The 21613-nt window shown below is 43.3% G+C and overlaps 1 protein-coding gene across 1 annotated transcript in view; it reads left to right on the plus strand.

The window, feature by feature from the left end:
* DDI2 (DDI proteasomal shuttling factor 2) overlaps nt 1-21613 on the plus strand; it is a 51587-nt gene that overhangs the window by 9662 nt on the left and 20312 nt on the right. The window contains exons 3-6 of the mRNA NM_032341.5: nt 3206-3442; nt 6320-6446; nt 11188-11315; nt 16403-16531. Of these exons, the coding sequence (NP_115717.3) occupies nt 3206-3442; nt 6320-6446; nt 11188-11315; nt 16403-16531 (621 nt within the window). The remainder of the gene's footprint in view (nt 1-3205; nt 3443-6319; nt 6447-11187; nt 11316-16402; nt 16532-21613) is intronic.

Below are 21613 nucleotides of genomic sequence, written 5' to 3' on the forward strand. Positions count from 1 at the left end.
GGAAGGACTTGAAAGAATACATAAGCCTATGATTTTGCTACTTTGTGTCTGTCCTTCAGTGGCCAGCCTTTCTGGAGCATTTTATAGCCAGCCAGGCACTTGGAGCTGCATTTCACATGATCTCATAACTTGGTTGTGGGGGGATTTACATACTAATTTGCATAATAATTTATAATTATGAAGCTCAGATTTTAAATGGTGTCTTTAAAGTTACATAGCTATTAAGTGAGGGCACAGGAATTAAAATTTGATGCTTTTTCCATTATGCTGAACTTGATAAACATTAAGCAGCTTGACCACCAAGTTGTGGTTCTTTCCTACCAGCTGTGTTAATCACATACAAAGAAACGTTTATCTATCTTTGATGCTGCTTTTATAATAGATGTTTATAGTCTGAACTCTGTGCATTGGGATTTAGTAGGTTCTATGTCACTGAAATAATATGCAGAATTGTGTGGATGTGAATGTGTGTGTGCACTGGATAGAGAGAGGGTCATAGCTTTGTTCAGATACTTGAAGTGGCTCATGATCCACAAAATGATTATAAGGTCTTAATGTGAAACAGCTTGGTGAAATGTGTGGTTTTTTTCCATTCGCTGCCATATTCAGATAGATTTTCTTAAATAGTGTTTAGCCTGTAGGTCACCAGTTTTAAAGTTTATGGTGACAGATGCTGGCAGAGTCTGGGTGATGACAGACTGACTGCAGTTTTAACCACAGTGTTTCCATTCAGCCTGAAACTGGAACTTACTGAGACCATCAAGGACCGGCTCCACCAGATCTGGAAGACATTAGTCCCTTGGGGCCACAGTTAAACTTTAGAAAGAAGTTAAAACTTCTTTCTGAAGAAGTTAAACGTATTTAAACAACTATGACAATCAGTAAAAACCACATCTTCCTTTGGTTAATTTGATGAGATTATTAATTCCGGAATTTACTTCTTTTTTTTTTTCCTCTGCATTGTTGTTTATGGACAAGAGAGCCTGTAACAGGTTGGGGCAGGAGTGATCTGGTCTATTAAGTAAACATGTTTTTGAGAATTATTCTGAAGTGAATGGACTCTCAAGATAATGTATAACAGGAGTGGAGATAAAATTTCTTGACCTGCAAAGAGGGCCCACCCATATATGTTTTTCTGGCTGGTATAGATTAACTACCTCACAGAGATCATCCTCTTCACTTCACCATTTCCTTGGTTGGGAGTTGAAGAAAGTGGCTAGTTGAACCCCTGCTAAAGGGTAGAAATGTTACATCATGAGTTTAAGCATTCTCTTTTTCTATCTGAGGTCCAAAAAGGCTTCAGGATAGTCCCAGACTTGAGACAAGTTTGTTTGTTTTTTGATTTTTTAGTTTATTTAAAATCCTTAATAGTGCAAGGATTGTGCTATAATTCTGATCACTGTGGAATTGCTTAGTGTACTGTCATTTATAACATTAAGCACAGTTATCCTTAAGAAAAGTATTCAGTTGTTCAGACAAGTTTGACCATCAACTATATTTTTTGGAGTTGAAGGAATGTCGATTGACTCAGGCCTAGCCCCTCATTCTGGCTCTCCTTGTTTACTTTTCTCTTTTTCATTTTTCTTTTTTAAATAACAGTTTTATTGAGATAGAATTCATGCATTTAAATGATTTTTTTTTACTATATTCATGAGTTGTGTAACCATCACCACAATCCATTTTAGCGTATTTTCATTACCTTAAAAAGAAATCCTATACCCATTTATAGTCATTTCCCATTTCCCCCTAGTCTCCGCAGCCTAGACAACTACAAGTCTACTTTCTGTCTCTATGTATTTACCTATTTGGAACATTTCATATAAATGGGGTCATACAATATGTGAGTCCGTTGTGTAAGGATTAAAATTCCCTTTTATCTTCCTTTCATTTTAGTAAGGTCAGTTCCACCTGGCATATAGAACCTGGGAGTTGTAGCTTCTAAACTGTGGTAGCTTTTGGTGTATTCAGCACTGAGAACCTATGCAAGTCCCTTTTCTTCTTTCTTTTCTATAAAATGATGACACTGTTTAGCTCCCCAAGGGCATGAGAAGAGTTAGCAGAGATGCACAGATTAAAGTATAAATTCAGAGAACTATTAAGAACTTCCCTGAGCCAATACGTTTAGCACTGACTTGCAGAATTTAGCATCTAATATTTATGCTGCTCACTTGACATATATAATATCCTTTGATCCGGCCGGGCACAGTGGCTCACACTTATAATCCCAGCACTTTGGGAGGCTGAGGTGGGTGGATCACCTGAGGTCAGGATTTCGAGACCAGCCTGGCCAACATGGTGAAATCCCATCTCTACTAAAAATACAAAAAATTAGCTGGGCGTAGTGGCACACGCCTGTAATCCCAGCTACTCGGGAGGCTGAGGCAGGAGAATCACTTGAACCCAGGAGGCAGAGGTTGCAGTGAGGCAAGATCGTGCCATTGCACTCCAATCTGGGCAACAAGGCAAGACTCCGTGTCAAAAAAAAAAAAAAAAAATTCTTTAATCCAAGCGTCAAGGCTGTTTGAACCATATGTCAGACCAGAGTAGGATTTTTCTCAAGAACAACATCCAGACTTATGCAATTATATTTATTGAAACTAGCTTTAATTTTTTTTTTTTTTTTTCTTTTGAGATGAAGTTTCGCTCTTGTTGCCTGGGCTGGAGTGCAATGGCGCCATCTCGGCTCACTGCAACCTCCACCTCCCGGGTTCAGGTGATTCTTCTGCCTCAGCCTCCTGCGTAGCTGGGATTACAGGTGACTGCGACCACGCCCAGCTAATTTTTGTATATTTAGTAGAGACAGAGTTTCACTATGTTGACCAGGCTGGTCTTGAACTTCTGACCTCAGGTGATCCAGCCACCTTGACCTCCCAAAGTGCTGGGATTACAGGTGTGAGCCACCACGCCTGGCCACTTTAATGATTTAAAAACATAAATTAAAAACCTGATGTCTATTGTGAGATATTTTATAAGCTAAAAATTTGGAGTTACTACCATCACCTTCCCCCTATTTTTCTTCTTCTATCGATTCACTCTCAGCCGGCAGTCTTTATATTCAGAGTCATCATGAGAAAGAACAAGGTTAAAGTCTACAGTTACCTTTGCTGCTGTCATATACCATGTATGAGCAAGTGTTCTGCTGTTTCCTTCAAGTGCTTGTTTTTGTAGAGTAATTTGAGTAAACTGAATTGATTTTCCCCAACAGACTTACCCCGAATAGATTTCAGTAGTATAGCTGTGCCTGGCACATCAAGTCCCCGGCAGCGCCAGCCACCAGGAACACAGCAGTCCCACTCATCTCCTGGAGAAATAACTTCATCTCCTCAGGGCTTGGACAATCCAGCCTTGCTCCGAGATATGTTGCTGGCCAACCCGCATGAGCTGTCCTTGCTGAAGGAACGCAATCCACCCCTGGCAGAAGCTCTGCTCAGTGGAGACCTTGGTAAGCTTATAAATTTGGAAGGCTATTAGGCTGGCCTGAGGTGAAGAAGCTGTGTCATAGCAAATGTGAAGAGACTCAAGCGACACTGTGTCACATGATTTATTGAACATACCAGTTTTTTCTCTGTGAGAGGTAAATTAGTGCTAAAGTCAAAGGCTGAGTTACTTGGAAACAGCAATAGAGTTTTAGCAGTGAAATCCATCTAGGCCACCCCCCTTGGTTTACTTTTTGTTTTCCTCATTGTTTTTGGCAGCAGATAACCTAGGTACTGATTTTTGTTTGTTTCTTTGTTTTTTCTTTGAGACGGAGTCTTGCTCTTTCGCCCAGGCTGGAGTGTAGTGGTGCAATCTTGGCTCACTGCCAGCTCCGCCTCCCGGGTTCATGCCATTCTCCTGCCTCAGCCTCCCAAGTAGCTGGGACTACAGGCGCATGCTGCCACACCTGGCTAATTTTTTGTATTTTTATTAGAGACGGGGTTTCACCGTGTTAGCCAGGATGGTCTCGATCTCCTGACCTCGTGATCCGCCTGCCTCGGCCTCCCAAAGTGCTGGGATTACAGGTGTGAGCCACCATGCCCAGCCAGTACCGATATTTTAACCTTAGTTAGATCTTCAATTAAAGAGATCATCAACAAGCCAGCTGATGCCAGCTGATGCCAGGAAGGTTCAGTGCCCTGTATGGCAAAATGGAATCACCATAACCTCAGTCCACTCCAAGTTATTTTTTGTATTTTTTGTAGAGATGGAGTTTTGCCATGTTGTCCAGGCTGCTTTCGAATTCTTGGGCTCAAGCAGTCTGCCTGCCTTGGCCTCCCAAAGTGCTGGGATTACAGGCATGAGCAGTTGCACCCAGCTAACTTGTAGCCATCTTTATGAATCGAGTTTTCTCTGTAAATTACTCTCATTTTACTCTTGGGTTTATGAGTTAAATTGGGTTAAGTCTAAAAACATAACAGACACTTAATGACTCATTCCTCAATTGACTGTCTTTAAATTGGCAATCTTTACCTTAAGCGAAGTACTCAGATTTTAAATATACAATTCCTTGAGTTTTGACAAACTCCTGTAACCCCAATCAAGACACAGGACATTTCTCTCACTCCAGAAAGTTCCACTGTGTTGCTTTCTAGTCAATCTCCTCTCCTTATAGGTTACTACTGTTTTGATAATCTTATGGTTTAGTTTCCCGTATTTTTAAACTTCATGTATATGGAATAATAGAGTGTCTGCTCTTTCGTGTTAGGCTTTGTTTTTTTTTTTCTTGAGACGGAGTTTCACTCTGTCTCCCAGGCTGGAGTGCAGTGGCGCGATCTCTGCTCACTGCAACCTTCGCCTCCTGGGTTCAAGCGATTCTCCCGCCTCAGTGTCCCAAGTAGCTGGGACTACAGGCGTGCACCACCACACCCGGCTAATTTTTGTATTATTAGTAGAGATTGGGTTTCACCATGTTGGCCAGGCTGGTCTCAAACTCCTGACCTCGTGATCCACCCGTCTCGGCTTCCCAAAGTACTGAGATTACAGGCGTGAGCCACCACTCCCAGCTCGTGTTAGGCTTTTCACTCAACTTAATGCTTTTTAGATCCATCTGTATTGTGTGCATTAGTAGTTCAGATAACCATTGTCATAATATCTTTTAATCTCTTATATCAGCATATCTAATCACCAAAGATGGTGATGATGGGGCATTTAAGTTTGCACACTTAAATGTACCACCATTTAAGAAATTGCAAAATAGGCCGGGCACGGTGGATCACCTGAGGTCAGGAGTTCAAGACCAGCCTGGCCAACATGGTGAAACCCAGTCTCTACTAATAATACAAAAATTAGCTGGACGTGGTGGCAGGTACCTGTAATCCCAGCTACTTGGGAGGCTGAGGCAGGAGAATCACTTGAACCTGGGAGGTGGAGGTTGTAGTGAGCCAAGATTGCGCCATTGCTCCCCAGCCTGGGCAACAAGAGCGAAACTCCATCTCAAAAAAAAAGAAATTGCAAAATAGGTTCTTGTTGTAACATACATCTTATAGCAAGCAGTGTTTTCTCTACTAATTTTCCTGCCTATTAATTCATCAGAACACACACAAAATATAGGTAGACTAAAAATAGTTTATACTTAATGTATCTGGCTTAAGGCAGGGCATGTTATAAAAGAAATGAAACTAGAAGAGGAAAAGGAGATTATATAATGCTGTATTTTGTTTCTAGGTAGTAGGATAATGAGAACAATGAGGAATGGAGGAGTGGAGACATTGATCTGCCACATGGTCACTCCCCACCATTTTAAATTGGAAAGTTGTTACCTCTGAGTAGAAACAATATGATAGATAACTTCTTATAAAAAATTTTTGCAAATACTTTTTTTTTTTTTTTTTTTAAAAAAAAAAAAACAGGGTCTCACCATGTCACCCAGGCTGGAGTGTGTGGTGCGATCACAGCTCACTGCATCCTCGACCTCCTGGGCTCAGGCCATCCCCCCACCCTTGAACCCCCATCCAACAGTAGCTGGGACTACAGGCATGCACCACCACGCCCAACTAATTTTTATATTTTTTGTAGAGACAAGGTCTTGCTATGTTGCCCAGGCTGGTCTCGAACTCCTAGGCTCAAACGGTCCTCCCACCTCAGCCTCCCAAAGTGTCGAGATTATAGGCATGAGCTACCACACCCAGCCACAAATACTTTCTTTACACTGAATTTAAATGATGAAATAGCCTTGACTCAGAGAACAGAAAGTAAATGTAATTGCTCATTTTAAATAAGCTTTAGGCATCCTCTCTGCATCTCTTACAGATGTAGTTTGATAAATTGTTTGGTGTGGAAAAGTACTGATAAACGTTGAAAATATAGTGATATTTAAGATTTTTCTCCCTTATTTTTGTAGAGAAATTTTCTAGAGTCCTGGTGGAGCAGCAGCAGGACCGAGCCCGGAGAGAGCAAGAAAGGATTCGTCTGTTTTCTGCTGATCCCTTTGACCTTGAAGCTCAGGCAAAGATAGAAGAAGATATAAGGTAAAGACCTGTTCATCTAAAGAACAAAACTTAGAGACTCCAGATTTCCCAGACTGCAGGTTATCTGACATTGGTTGGGCATCTGCTTGGAGGTAGCTTCTCTGTTTTGCAGTTGAGATAGTAACCTCAGTCTTTTAGGTTAGTCTCTCCTCTTTCATTTTCTATGCATTTCGATTTGACATGACAAAGATATAGGTGCTTAGTTTAATGACTTTCTTTCTAAAATTTTAAGGAGGACTCCCTGACTAGCAGACAGAGCATCATAACACAGCTTTAGATAAATGACCCCCGGACTGAGCAGAAGCCACCATCTGGTGAGACCACAAGGCTGGTTGCATATTACATGGGCTGATTTGACTCTCTTTCTTTAGACATATTGTATAAGTCCTGATTAAATCCAGGGCTTAAACATGATTGGATTAGAGAGGGCTCTGCGCCGATGGAACGTTGGTAGTCCTAAGTCTGTTTTCCTGCTGCATTTCTTGTACTGGCCTCAGTGGATAAACTGAATGCTGGACATGTTTCCAGCTCTCAGTTTCTGTAATGCGGTGGTTCTCACCTGGGGCTATAGTAAAATCACATGAGAAACTTTTAAAAATGCAGATGCTTGGACTCTTCTCCCAAATCTGATGAATCAGAATTGTCGGGCATGGAGCTCAAGCAAGGACAGTGACGCTGTTCCGGCCTCAGTCACACTGATAGTCACAAGCAAGATTCTGTTCAGTCATTCTCTGAAAAAAAGGACAGCTGCTTTTCCTGCCTCAAGTCAGTTTTTGTTGCTAATTGTGAAGAACTTAGTATAACTAAGAAGAAGATAACAGCAACGATACTTACTACACTTAGACTGCTTGGCCTTTTAGGGACCGTGTCATCATTCCGGTTACTTAAATGAAGCCTAACTTGGTCATTGTATTACACTATCTATCAACTTAGAAATTAAATCATGCTTTTTTAAACTTCTTATTCTTTTTATCTTTTTTTTTTTGAGACAAGGTCTCACTCTGTCACCCAGGCTAGAGTGCAGTGGCACAATCACAGCTCATTGCAGCCTGGACCTCCCCGAGACTGAGGTGTTCTCACCTTAGCCTCCCGAATAGCTGGGAATACAGGCATCTGTCACCACGCCCAGCTAATTTTTTCATTTTTTGTAGAGACAGGATTTCACTGTGTTGCCCAGGCTGGTCTTGAACTCCTGAGCTCACGCAATCCACGCGCCTCAGCCTCCCAAAGTGCTAGGATTATAGGGATGAGCCACTGCACTTAGCCCGTCCTTCTTCTCAATTGATCTTCCTTCTGACCTCAATTGATCTCCTACCTCAGCCACTCAAAGTGCTGGGATTACAAGTGTGAACACCATGTCCTGCCTCTTACTCTTCTTACTACATTTGAAATCAGAAATACAGGCTAGTCCTGGTGGCTCATGCCTGTAATCCCAACACTTTGCTTGAAGCCAGGAGTTTGAGGCCAGCCTGGGCAGCAAAGTGAGACTCTGTCTTTACAAAAAATAAAATAAATTAGCCAGGTGTGGTGGCATGCACCTGCAGTCCCAGCTACTCAGGAGGCTGAGGCAGGAAGATCACTTGAGCCCAGTAGTTGGAGGCTGCAGTAAGCTATGATTGTACCACTGCATTCCAACCTGGGCAAGAGAGTGAGACCCCCATCTTAGGAAAAAAAAAAAAAGAAATATAATTGTACACTAGAATTAATTGACAGCCCTAAGTCATTACGAAATTCCATCTCAAAAAAATAAATAAGAATAGAAGTGAAATAGAGAGTGTCCATAAGGCTCATGTTTCTTTCTAGGGCTTGAATGAAGGAAATAGGGTGACACATCTATTCTCTTCCCCACCCCAGGCCCAAGACGGAGTCTTGCTCTGTCGCCCAGGCCTGAGTTCAGTGGCACGATCTCGGCTCATTGCAGCCTCCGCCTCCCAAGTTCAAGCGATTCTCCTGCCTCAGCCTTCTGAGTAGCTGGGATTACAGGCATGTACCACCACGCCCGGCTATTTTGGTATTTTTAGTAAAGATGGGGTTTCACCATCTTGGCCAGGCTGGTCTCAAACTCCTGACCTCAGGTGATCCACCCTCCTCATCCTCCCAAAGGGCTGGGATTACAGGTGTGAGCCACTGCGCCTGGCCACATCCATTCTTTGAAAGGTGAAAACCTTGTACCTCTGAAGAGACTCTCTACATATGGACCCCAGAAAAGCCAAAGTAGCTGGTGTTATTGCAGAGGATTTTTTGTTGAAACTCATTTGGGTTGGAGTCCATGCAAGATGAAGTATACAATTAATTTTAGGTTATTTCTATGTTTAATAATGTGCAATAGCATAAAACCTGTGTAATTATATAAAATGTCTATTAAAGTTTCATATGGCTTGCTACACCAGTGATTACACAGGGTAGGTGAACACAGGTTCGATAGCTTTCATATTTGCCTAAAGGAAGGTGCTTTTGACTTTCTGAGTTTAAATTTTGTTGCAAAATGACTGATAAAGCTATCAGTTCACTTGAGCTAGATGATTATTATGAAAAGAACAGAAACTGTAGTTAGAGCAGGAGTCAGCAGAGTTTTTTTTGTTTGTTTTGAGACAGGGCCTCCGACGTTTAGGCTGGAGTGTAGTGGCACGATCATGGCTCATAGCCTCAACTTCTTAGGCTCAGGTGATCCTCCCCCATCAGCCTCCTGAGTAGCTGGGTCTATAGGCACACCACCACACCTGGCTAATTTTTCTTGTATTTTGTAGAGACGAGGTTTCGCCGTGTTGCCCAGTCGTGTCTTGAAGTCCTGGGCTCGAGTGATTTGTCCAGCTCCCAGAGTGCTTGGATTATAGGTGTGAGCCACCACGCTTGGTGTGAGGTTTATTTTTTGTTTGTTTGTTTGTTGAAGAGACAGGGTCAGCACCATAAAACAGGGCAAAAAAAAAAAAAGTATCTTGCTCTGTCGTCCAGGCTGGAGTGCAGTGGTGCCATCCTAGCTCACTGCAGCCTCAGCCTCCCAGGCCCAAGCAATCTCTTGCGTCAGTCTCCTGAATAGCTGAGACTACAGGCTTGTGCTACCACGCCCAGCTAATTATAGTGATAGGGTCTCACTGTGTTGCCCAGGCTGGTGTCAAACTCCTGGCCTCAAGTGATCCGCCTGCCTTGGCCTCCCAAAGTGCTGGGATTATAGGCATGAGCTGCTGTGCCAGGCCTTAGTGGACTTTCTATAAATGGGCAGATAGTAAATATTTTAGTCTTTGCAAACCATACAATCTGTGTTGCTCATGTTCAGCTCCGCCACTGCCATGTGAAAGCAGCCATAGACAATAGGACAATATGTAAATGCACTATATCACTGTGTTTCCATAAAACTTTTTTTGCCTAAACAGCAGGCTATGATTTACCAACCCTGGATTTACAGTGTAGGTTATCCCAAATCTTAGAAGCTGTTCTGTTAGTGTCTCAGTCTTCAGGTAAGTTGCCCAACCGCTGACCTAGTTTCCATTAATGTTGGTAGTATTTGATAATGTTTTTAAAAGGAGATTGATTCATGCTGTTTTAAGGGAGTAGAAAAAAATTGGGAATAAACATGAGATGTTGGAGTAAGCAAGAACTCCCTTTTGTTGCTTTTCTCGTGTAAGAATTAGAGTTGTGTTGATTTTTTTGTTTTCTTTTCCTTCCTTTTGGTGGGGAGAGATGGGGTTTCACCATGTTGCCCGGGCTGGTTTGAAACTCCTGAGCTCAAACTCCTGAGCTCAAGGGATCCACCTACTTTGGCCTTCCAAAGAAAGTGCTGGGACTACAGGTGTGAACCACTGCACCTGGCATGTTGATTTTTTTTGTTTTTGGTGTCTCGCTCTGTCGCTCAGGCTGGAGTGTAGTCGTGCGATCTTGGCTGCAACCTCCGCCCCCCGGGTTCAAGCAGTTCTACTGCCTCAGCCTCCTGAGTAGCTGGGATTACAGGTGCATGCCACCATGCCCGGCTAGTTTTTGTATTATTAGTAGAGATGGGGTTTCACCATGTTGGCCAGACTGGTCTTGAACTCCTGACCTCCGGTGATCCACCCGCCTTGGCCTCCCAAAGTGTTGGGATTACAGGCGTGAGCCACCGTGTGCGGCCAGCATGTTGAATTTTTAAACAAATTATTTCATGGATCAAATGAACTATGAAACACATGTAGTTTTAAGTGATGGGTGCAATTTTTTTGTAGCATAAGCTGTTATATGAGCACTGTATACTAGATGCTTTGTACCTCTTGGCAACCTAGGTAACAGTTATCCTTAGTGTACAGATTAGAAAACCCAGTCCTGGAGATGAAGCAGCAGATGCAGCACAAGACGTTGAAATATTTGTGTTTTCTGTTTGTGAACTTTTTGTAATGTTCTGGGCTTAGGAAATGTATTCAGATACCCAGTAAATCCTCAGTTAAAATTGGAACATTCCCGAAATTCTAACATTCTGCCAGAAAAATGGGGTTGTAACCCTTGCTCTCCAGTTTCTTATTTCTGAGCATAGAAAGGCGGCTTAGTGTTTTACAAAGGGTAATTTTTATGCCTTTAGATTTTCTGCCAGCTGTTCATCTTACTGCCTCTTTGGAAATGATCTCTTGCCCCATATAGCACCAATTTTTCTATGACTCGGCTGCTGTGCTTGGGGCAAAAGATATGTACAAATCTGTTTTTTAATATTGTGACTTTGAAACTGATTTCTCTCCATGGAATTAATGCTTTCAGTGTCCCTGGTCTTGTTCTGTTACAGGCAACAGAACATTGAGGAAAACATGACAATAGCTATGGAAGAGGCTCCGGAAAGTTTTGGCCAAGTAGTGATGCTTTATATTAACTGCAAAGTGAATGGACATCCTGTGAAAGCCTTTGTTGACTCAGGTGACGTCTCTGTCTTTTATTTCTTGGTCTCCCCTCCAACATCTTTACCTGACACGGGAGAAGGGGAGGCTCAAGCATCCGTTCAGATGGCTGTACTTTTTTTTTTTTTTTTTTTTTTGAGACAGAGTCTTGCTCTGTCACCCAGGCCAAAGTGCAGTGGCGTGATCTTGGCTCACTGCAACCTCTGTCTCCTCAGTTCAAGCGATTCTCCAGCCTCGGCCTCCCACGTAGCTGGGATTACAGGCGCCAACCACCACGCCCAGCTGATTTTTACATTTTTAGTAGAGATGGGGTTTCACCGTGTTGGTCAGGCTGGTCTTGAACTCCTGACCTCAAGTGATCCACCGTGCCTGGCCCAGATGGCTGTAGTTCTTTAGGCTGCTAACTCACTAGCGTGGGACTTACTGTTTCACTTGCGAGGCATTCTGTTGGTATTAGGTTTCTTTCTTTAATCATTTCTTAACCAGTTTTGTATTTTGTGGTGTCTCCTTTTTCTTCCTAACTCCCCTTATCTAGCATCCTGAATTTCTTGGATGTTTCTGTAAAAAACTGGGAATACATAGGTTTAGAAGAAGGAGCTATAAAAGGAGCTGTGTAGAGTATAGGTCAAACACATTTCAGCCTGGCCTGTGCACCAGCACTTTGCCAAGATTTGGGAGGAGTGTAAGGCTATCTGGGTATGGTTCTTACCCTTAAAGAACTTAACAACCAAGTAAGGAGACAGGGATTCTTCTGCTTGAGGGTTCAGTTAATTCACATACTAGTTGGCACCTTTTCTGTCAGTAACAACCGTTTGCTTTTTAGTAAGACTACACCATGCAGCATTTTGTGGGTGTATGACTGAGTGGTCTCATACATCTTAATTCTGGGTTGTCTCACTCAAGGCTGTAAGATAGGTGAGTTCCTAGAGTAGAAAAATTCCTTGCTCAAATAATATTTTCCCCCTTCACTGTGTATTTCTATATAAAAAGAAAAAAAGTATTTTCTTTCATTTGTTCATCTACACATTCCTGAGCACATGCTGGGTTTCAGCTCTCTCTCTCTCATTTTTTAAAGAGAGGGTCTCTGTCACCCAGGCTAGAGTGCAGTGGTGCAGTCAGCTCACTTCAGCCTCCAACTCCTGGGCTCAAGTGATCCTCCAGCCTCAGCCTCTCAAGTAGCTGGAACCACAGGCATGTGCAACCATACCTGGCTGATTTTTTAACTTTTTGTAGAGACAGGGTTCCCCTGTATTGTGTAGGCTGATTGGGAACTCCTGGCCTCAACTCTCATTAAGAGTTTGTACCTTGAGACTGGGTGTAGTGGCTCATACCTGTAATTCCAGCATTTTGGGAGGGTGAGGTGGGAGAATTGCTTGAGCCCAGGAGTTTTGAGACCAGCCTAGGCAACATGGGGAAACCTCGCCTCTACAAAAAATACAAAAATTAGCCGGGTGTGGTGGTGCGTACCTATAGTCCCAGCTACGGGGGAGGCTGAGGTGGGAAGATCACCTGAGCCTGTGGTGACGGCAGAGGTCAGGGCTTGCAGTGAGCTGTGATTGTGCCACTGTGCCCCAGCCTGGGTGAGTGAGACCCTGCCTTCGGGGGAAAAAAAAAAAAGAGTTTGTATCTTGAGATACAGACATTCCTGGGAGTTTAAAAAAAAACTGAAATTATTCAGTTTAAAAAATATCTGTTGTGGGTAGGGCCTTGTGCTGAGTGCTTGGTGATAAGACTTAGTGACTGGAGCCTCAGAGGTCCCCGTGTGAGTGAGAGACAAATACATAGAAGACGCTAATAGAATACTCAGTGTGTATTGATTCCTTATTGTGTGCCAAGCACCATGCTAGGTGCTTAATATAATCATCTTACTCAATTTTATTTCATCCTCAGAATATCTCTATGTACTTTGTTCTATAATTCCTGTTTTATCCATAAGAAAACTTAGATATAGAGAGGTCACATTCTCTACTCTGTCTTTTACACATAAGGAAACTTAGAGGGATCAAGTCACGCTTCCAGGTATACAGAGTTCGTGAGTGGTGGGCTTTGGATTCAGCCCCAGGTCCCCTTGATGCCAGAAATCTCAACCACTGTGCAAAAATCAGGTGAATGTTGGATGGCTGTAGAGACCACATTCTCACTCTGACCGAGGTGCTCAGGAGAGTCTTTCCAGAAGACAGCATTTGAGCTGAGGCTTTGGAAAATGCAGGAGAGCAGTGAAAGGGGCCCTTCTCATCCTGGGTTGCTTACTTTAATAACTTGGCTTTTGTAAATTAAGAAGGAGGAAGAAAAGAGAGAATTGCCTTTCCAAATTCCCTTTTCCTTCATTATTTCTGGGCCTTTTTGAATCTAATCTTTCTCAAATGCCAAGAACTTTTATTACTTATAAAGTGTAGGGTACCTGTGAGTAATATGAGCAGGAAGTGTTGGAATTGAGTGAGAGGCGAGGTCATTGCAAAAGGGCAGTCAGTTAGGGAGGAAGTGGGTCTTGAGCTAGATCTTGAAGCATCGGTGGAATTCAGGAAAAAAAGCAGGGCAGGGACCATTTTACAGGAGGGTCAAAGTGAGTGAATGGCAAAGGGGACATATTCCTCCTGCTGAAGCAGAGGGTTTAGAGTAGTTAGAATGTACGGCTGGAAAGAAATGGTGGAGCCAGGATGGGGTGGGATCTGAAGCTGTGGTGATGGTGGTTTGAAACTAATCTCATAAGGAGTGGAAACCATTGAGGACTTTTAAGCAGATGAAGAAGTAAGTGATTTGAAAATGGTGCTATTGGCCCAGTGCAGTGGCTCAAACCTGTAATCCCAGCACGTTGGGAGGCTGAGGCGGGTAGACCATTTGAGGTCAGGAGTTCAAGACCAGCCTGGCCAACATGGTGAAACCCCATGTCTATTAAAAACACAAAATCAGCCAGGCATGATGGTGGCACACCTGTAATCCCAGCTACTTAGGAGGCTGAGGCAGGACAATAGCCTGAACCTGGGAGGCAGAGATTGCAGTGGGCTGAGATCACATTACTGCACTCCAGCCTGGGCAACAGAGCAAGACTGTGTTTCCAAAAAAAAAAAAAGTGACATTTTAGGAAAACTAAAGGTAGACACAGATCTGGAAAATTCTGTACCCCTAAGGGTCACAACAATATCCTTGCTTTAAATTACGCATCCACGGAGTGGTTTGGAAGCCAGAACAATTGTCCTTTTGCAAGGGAATGGCAGTGTGAGCCAGGCTGATCACTATGGTTAGAAGAAAGAGCATCAGGACAGGCACAGTGGCTCAAACCTGTAATCCCAGCACTTTGGGAGGCCAAGGCAGGTGGATCACCTGAGGTCAGGAGTTCAAGACCAGCCTGGCCAACATGCTGAAGCCCCATCTCTACTAAAAATACAAAAAATAGCCGGGCATGGTGGCACTTGCATGTAATCCCAGCTACTCGGGAGGCTGAGGCAGGAGAATCGCTTGAACCCAGGAGGTGGAGCTTGCAGTGAGCCGAGATTGCACCATTACACTCCAGCCTGGGCAACAAGAGTGAAATTCAGTCTCAAAAAAAAAAAAAAAAAAAAAGGAGAAGAAAGGGCATCAGAAATAGCAGAAATTGCATAGACCTTATTTACAGGTTTGAGAGAAGAAAGACTAGGAGAAGAGTCAAAAGTGAACAGTGCCCAGGTTTTATGGCTGCAAGAAAATAATCCCATTGGCAAACACAGAGAAATCCAAAGTGAGAATTATTTGGGGAGAAAGAGTTTTATGCCTGTTGGCTTTGACAGAAATGTCCAGTGCACAAGAATGTAGAACTAGAGTTTCAGGGAGAAATTAGGACTGTAAAGATTACAGAAGCGACTGTCTTCTACATAGGCCAACCCGCCGTGTACATGTTTCTGGGAGAGAAAATAACCTAAGTGCCCTCATATTTAAAGGGAAGAGAGTCTGATTGTTGGAGCAGAGTATGGGAGTCCACTTCTAAATTTTGGAAGACTGCATGATTTATTAATAGTAGACTATAGTGTCCCAGTGTGGGGTTTTTGTTTTTAATTTTACTTTTTGAGCAGATAAAGTAGTAAATAATGTACTTACTTGTTTACATAGTGAGACGGGATATTGCTATGTTGCCCAAGCTGGTTTTCCACTCCTTGGCTCAGGTGATCCTCCCGTCTTGGCCTCCTGAAGTACGATTACAGGCATGAGCCACTACACCCAGCCCAAAATTTGATATAAAAACAACTTGATAGGGCCAGACACTGTGGCTCACACCTGTAATCCCAACACTTTGGGAAGCTGAGGTGGGCAGATCACTTGAGGTGAGGAGTTCCAGACCAGCCTGGCCAACGTGGTAAAACCCCATCTCTACTAAAAATACAAAAATTAGCTGGACGTGCCGGGTGCAGTGGCTCACGCCTGTAATCCCAGCACTTTGGGAGGCCGAGGCAGGTGGATCACGAAGTCAGGAGATCGAGACCATCCTGGCTAACACAGTGAAACCCCACCTCTACTAAAAATACAAAAAATTAGCCGGGTGTGGTGGTGGGCAACTGTAGTCGCAGCTACTTGGGAGGCTGAGGCAGGAGAATGGTGTGAACCCGGGAGGTGGAGCTTGTAGTGAGCTGAGACTGCGCCACTGCACTTCAGCCTGGGCGACAGAGCGAGACTGTCTCAACAACAAAAAAAAAAACATTAGCTGGACATGATGGCGCAAGCCTGTCAATCCCAGGTACTCAGGAGGCTGACGCAGGAGAATCGTTTGAAGCCAGGAGGCGACGGCTTAGAGATACTCGGTAAGAAGTGCAAAGTACTGCTAATTTAGCATTGCCATCTGTAGACGCAGGACATCACTGCTTTCTACTGGTAAAGTCTTAAAATGTCATTTAATTATTGCATCGCTACAGAATATTCTTCCCTCAATGTCAAATTGTACATCATGTTTCAGATTACAGAGTAGAACTGAAAGTTGAATTAGGCAGGCAGGGCACTTGCTAGGTAGAAATGAGTTTATAGAGACCAAAGCCTTGGGGTGTGCTTGGTTTTCGCTTTGTTATTATTTAGTGCTATATTTTGAGTCTTCTCACAAAGTGGATTTTGTTTTTATTGTCTGATGTTTCTCTACTCCTCCAGGTGCCCAGATGACTATCATGAGCCAAGCTTGTGCAGAAAGGTGTAACATAATGAGACTGGTGGACCGTCGGTGGGCAGGGATTGCCAAAGGAGTGGGCACCCAGAAGATTATTGGAAGGGTACATCTAGGTGAGCAAAAGGCACTGGGGCTTGCTGTCTTTCTGTAGGCTATTTGTAGGTAGGGTAGTCGATTTTCAAGTTTTTAGAGGGTCTTTTGTTGTTATTTTGTTGTTGTTGTTTTAAATTTCTTTTGTGTGGGTATGTCTGAGCTAGCAAGCCTAATTTCTAGAAGTTTTAAATCCTGTGTTCCGTCAAAGTTATGTGTTTCTGCTGGTTGCAAACAAGTAGTCTCCTCTACGTTTCTATTTCCTGAAAATATAATCCCTTTCCGTCATTTTAGCTGATTTATTTTTATACTTACCTCCATATTTCTAAATAACATGTTTATTTTGCTGTTTACTCATATGACTGTGTTTGAGAGCTGAGCTATCTAATTGAATGTGATTGCTTTTCTTTCATGGCTAGTATTATTTTCTCTTAGAATTAATAATTGTCCTGTTTTTCTTACTTGGTTTCTTGCGTAGTATTCATCCCAGACATTTCCTAATTATGTAAATCTCCCTTCAAGCACATCCAATAGCCTCTACATTTCATCCTATCAAAGATACTTCTTGAGCCTGGACTGGCAGTTTCAGGCCTGCTTCAGAGCTGCTGTTTTGGAATTTAACTTGACTGAGTCCTACAGATTCCTTTCTCTTCTGTCTTGTGTTGGATTACATGAATCCCTTGTCTTCCTCTTTTTTATCTGCCCCTCAGTTTATTGGAGTGCATCATCCAGTAACTTTCTTAGAAGAGGTGCATGGGAGTAAATTGAGACTAATTATCAGACATGTCTTTTTTCCCTACATTATACTGGTCTGCCTAGGTTGGAAATCATTTTCCTTCACAATTTCGAGGCATTGCCCCTTAACCTTTTCACTGTCAGTGTTGCTGTAGTGAGGCTGGATTCTGTTCCGATTCTTGATCCTTTATGTGAAAGTTTTCTTTTTCTTTTCAGTTTTTTTTGTTTTTTTTTTTTTTTTTTTTTTTTGAGACGGAGTCTCACTCTGTCGCCCAGGCTGGAGTGCAGTGGCGCTATCTCGGCTCACTGCAAGCTCCGCCTCCTGGGTTCACACCATTCTCCTACCTCAGCCTCCTGAGTAGCTGGGACTACAGGCGCCCGCCACCGCACCCGGCTAATTTTTTGTATTTTTAGTAGAGACGGGGTTTCACCGTGTTAGCCAGGGTGGTCTCCATCTCCTGACCTCGTGATCCGCCCGCCTCGGCCTCCCAAAGTGCTGGGATTACAGGCGTGAGCCACCGCTCCCGGCCTCTTTTCTGTTTTTTTGAAACAGTCTTTGTTCTGTCGCCCAGGCTGGAGTGCAGTGGCACGATCTCAGCTCACTGCAACCTCCGCCTCCCGGGTTCAAGCGATTCTCCTGACTCAGCCTCCCTGAGTAGCCGGGTCACAGGCGTGCACCACCACACCTAGCTAATTTTTGTATTCTTAGTAGAGACGAGGTTTCTCCATATTGGCCAGGATGATCTCTCTCAAATTCCTGGCCTCAAGTGATCCGCCCACGAGGCCTCCCAGAGTGCTGGGATTATGGCGTGAGCCACCGTTCCCAGCCTTCTTTTTCTTCTTTGAAGCTTGTAGATCTTCCCTTTGACCTCAGTGTTTTGAATTTTCACAATGCATGCTTGGGTGTGGATCTCTTCTCATATACTGTGCTAGGTACTTGGTAACCTGTGCAGTCTAGACGCTCACATCCCTCTGTTCTGGGGACTTTCTCTGAATTATTTTGACGATGATTTTCTCCCCTCTGGAATGTCTGTTATTCAGGTAGGATAATCTCTCCTGGACTTGTCCTCTAGTTTTCTTCTCTTTTGTTTTTCTGTGGGATTTCTTCAACTTTGTCTTCCAACCTTTGTGTTGGATTTTGTATTTGTTTGTATTTTACTTTAGATGGTTTTCATAAATGTCTTGTGATCCTTGGCATCAGCTCACATTGAAGAGTGGGCCACTGGCTGGCCGGGATGGCTCACACCTATAATCCCAGTGCTTTAGGAGGCTCATGTGGGATGATGGCTTGAGGCCAGGAGTTTGAGACCAGCCTGGGCAACATAGGGAGAATTCGTCTCTACAAAAAATTTTTTTAAATAGCCGGGTGTGGTGGCAAGTGCCGATGGTGCCAGCTACTCGAGAGGCTAAGGCAGGAGGATTGCTTGAGCCAGGGAGATAGAGGCTGCAGTGAGCTGTGTTCATACTACTGTACTCCAGCTTGGATGACAATGAGAACTCGTCTCAAAAAAAAAAAAAAAAAGAGTGGGCCACCAAAAGGCTTGTTTGGTAAATGACCTGGGTAGGCAGCCATGGCTCTTGTGGCCTTCACTGTAGGGTGGGTCTGAAAGTTGGGAGGGAGAAAAAGGCTGGCATCTCAGTTGGATTTTATTTATTCCCCCTGGTTTTCAGTTGGATACTTGTTCTGTCCCTGTCTCCCTCCATGCTCACCTCTGTTAAGAGTGCCTCTGTTTCACCCTCTCCAGAAAATAAGCCTCTAGTCTGCTACTGGGGTGAAGGGTCTCCTGGCCTAGCAGAGTGCGGGAGGGACACCCCAAGGGCTAACTGTGCCTCTGCGGCCTTCCCGCCAGCCTTGCTGCTTTGGGTCCATCTCTCCTCCTATCTGCAGAAGTATTTATGACCAGTTCCTATGCTCCATAGGAGTTCTGTGATGTCAGTTGGGTTACTGCTCAGTTTTCCTCACTGTCATCTGCTTTTTAGCTCTAAAATTTTGTTCCTGTGGTCTCTACTATTATATTTGGCCTTAAAAATGTATGCCTTAGGGCTGGGCATGGTGGCTCATGCCTGTAATCCCAGCACTTTGGGACCCCGAGGCAGGTGGATCACCTGAGGTCAGGAGTTCGAGACCAGCCTGGCCAACATGGTGAAACCCTGTCTCTACTAAAAATACAAAAATTAGCCGGGCGTGGTGGCGGGTGCCTGTAATCCCAGCTATTCGGGAGGCTGAGGCAGGAGAATCGCTTGAACCTGGGAGGCAGAGGTTGCAGTAAGCTGAGATTGTGCCATTTCACTCCAGCCTGGGCAATAAGAGTGAAACTCCATCTCTAAAGAAAAAAAAAAATGTGTGCCTTAGACAAAACCCAAAAACCTTTTTTGCAATGTTTTAGGAGTAAATGTAGATAAATGCATGTGTTCAGTCATTCATCTCTAATCAGAATTGTTTTTGTTTTCTTCTTCCATTATCCATTTAATAGATGCTTACTGTAGAGAACTTCAAAAGTATAGAAATGTGAGATGAAGGAAAAAAACATCCCTTAAATTCCTGTAGTGAGAATCAACCACCAGTATCATTTGGGCATATCTCCTGGTCTTTTTTCTGTGCACTTTTTTATCTTATAAAAGGTGATTATTTCTGTTTAAAATTTTATATTCTGCTCAAAGAAAAAGTGAAACAACATTTTCCCAATGTCACCATGAATTTCAAAAGAATTATTTAAATAAATGAATAAATGTATAGCATTCTGTTGCAGGTTTAAGGATCAGCTTTTGGGTTGTTTCTTTTTTTCTTTTTCTTTTTTTTTTTGAAACAGAGTCTCACTCTGTTGCCCACACTGGAGTGCGGTGGCGTAATCTTGGCTCACTTCAACCTGTGCCTCCCAGGTTCAAGTGATTCTCCTGCCTCAGCCTCCCGAATAGCTGGGATTACAGGCACCTGCTACCACACCCGGGTAATTTTTGGATTTTTAGTAGAGACAGGGTTTCACCATGTTGCCCAGGCTGGTCTCGAACTCCTGAGCTCAAAGTGATTCGCCTGCCTCAGCCTCCCAAAGTGCTGGGATTACAGGCGTGAGCTGCTGCGCCTGGCTGGTGATGTTTCCTATTAGAACATGGCAGTATAGTTTTCTGCACATTTTGATTTTTTCCCCCTAGTCAAGATTCCTATAAGTGAAACTACTGAATCAAAGTTACGGATGCTTTAGGACTCTTGATATGTTGCTAACCTGTACCAATCCAGTTTATCCACCACTGAATGAATATTCATCTTAGTGTCCTATACTGTTAAGGAATATTAGTTTTCCCTCTTAAATTTACAAATAAGGTGGGTGTGGTGGCTCATGTCTGAAATCCTAGCACTTTGAGAGGCCAAGGTGGGCAGATTGCTTGAGCTCAGGAGTTTGAGACCAGCCTGGGGGCCATAGCGAAACCACATCTCTACTAAAACTACAAAAAATTAGCCGGTTGTCATGACCGTACGCCTGTAGTCCCAGCTACTCAGGAGGCTGAGGTGAGAGGATCACTTGAACCCGGGAGGCAAAGGTTGCAGTGAGCCGAGATCATGCCAGTGTACTTCAGCCTGGGCAATAGAGCAATACTCTTTTCTCAAAAAAAATTTTTTTTTACAAATAAAAGAGTGGTTTCTTATTGTAAGTTACTTTTCTTTCATTGTAAATGATAGTTTTTCTGCACATTTGCTCTTCCTTTCTTTTGAAATATGTATGTCTGTTTATTAGGGTCTTTGTGTTTCTCTTATTGATTTGTGTAGGATAAAGATAGTTCAACTACCTTACACTTTCCTAAACACAGTAGGACTAAGAGTTTTGCAGGAATACCATAAACTGGTTCCTTCAGGGGCTGAGTTCTCAGATTTTTGATGACTTTAAATGAGAAGATAATAGGAGGAGACAAAATAAGTACCAAGCTCTGTGGCCATCCTTGTGGATTTTACAACCGTGGCTATGATCAGCATGAAAAAACCCTTATAGCAATAGGGGAAACCTAAATAAAAGGAAAGCTTTACCATGGATTAGAGATTCAGTATGTTGGGGGTGGCAGTTCTCCCACATTAATCCACAGAACCATTGAGATGCCATCAAAATCCTGGTAGATTTTTTGTGAGACTGGATGTGCTCATTTTAAATTTGGCGTGGGCCCTATATTGTGAGAATGGGCAAAATACTCTAGAAAAACATTGCCTTCTAGATATCAAAGGACTATCTAGAAGATATGAGTAGAAACAAACCCATGATTCTATGAACATTGATCAATGAGAGGAAGTCTTACAGAGCAATGGGGAAATGTTAGGAAATGTTGCTGGGACAAGAGGTATCCATGGGGAGAAATGAATTAGAAATCGGACCCTACCCACACCA

Source organism: Homo sapiens, chromosome 1, assembly GCF_000001405.40.
Source record: "Homo sapiens chromosome 1, GRCh38.p14 Primary Assembly".
Lineage (NCBI taxonomy): Eukaryota > Metazoa > Chordata > Mammalia > Primates > Hominidae > Homo > Homo sapiens.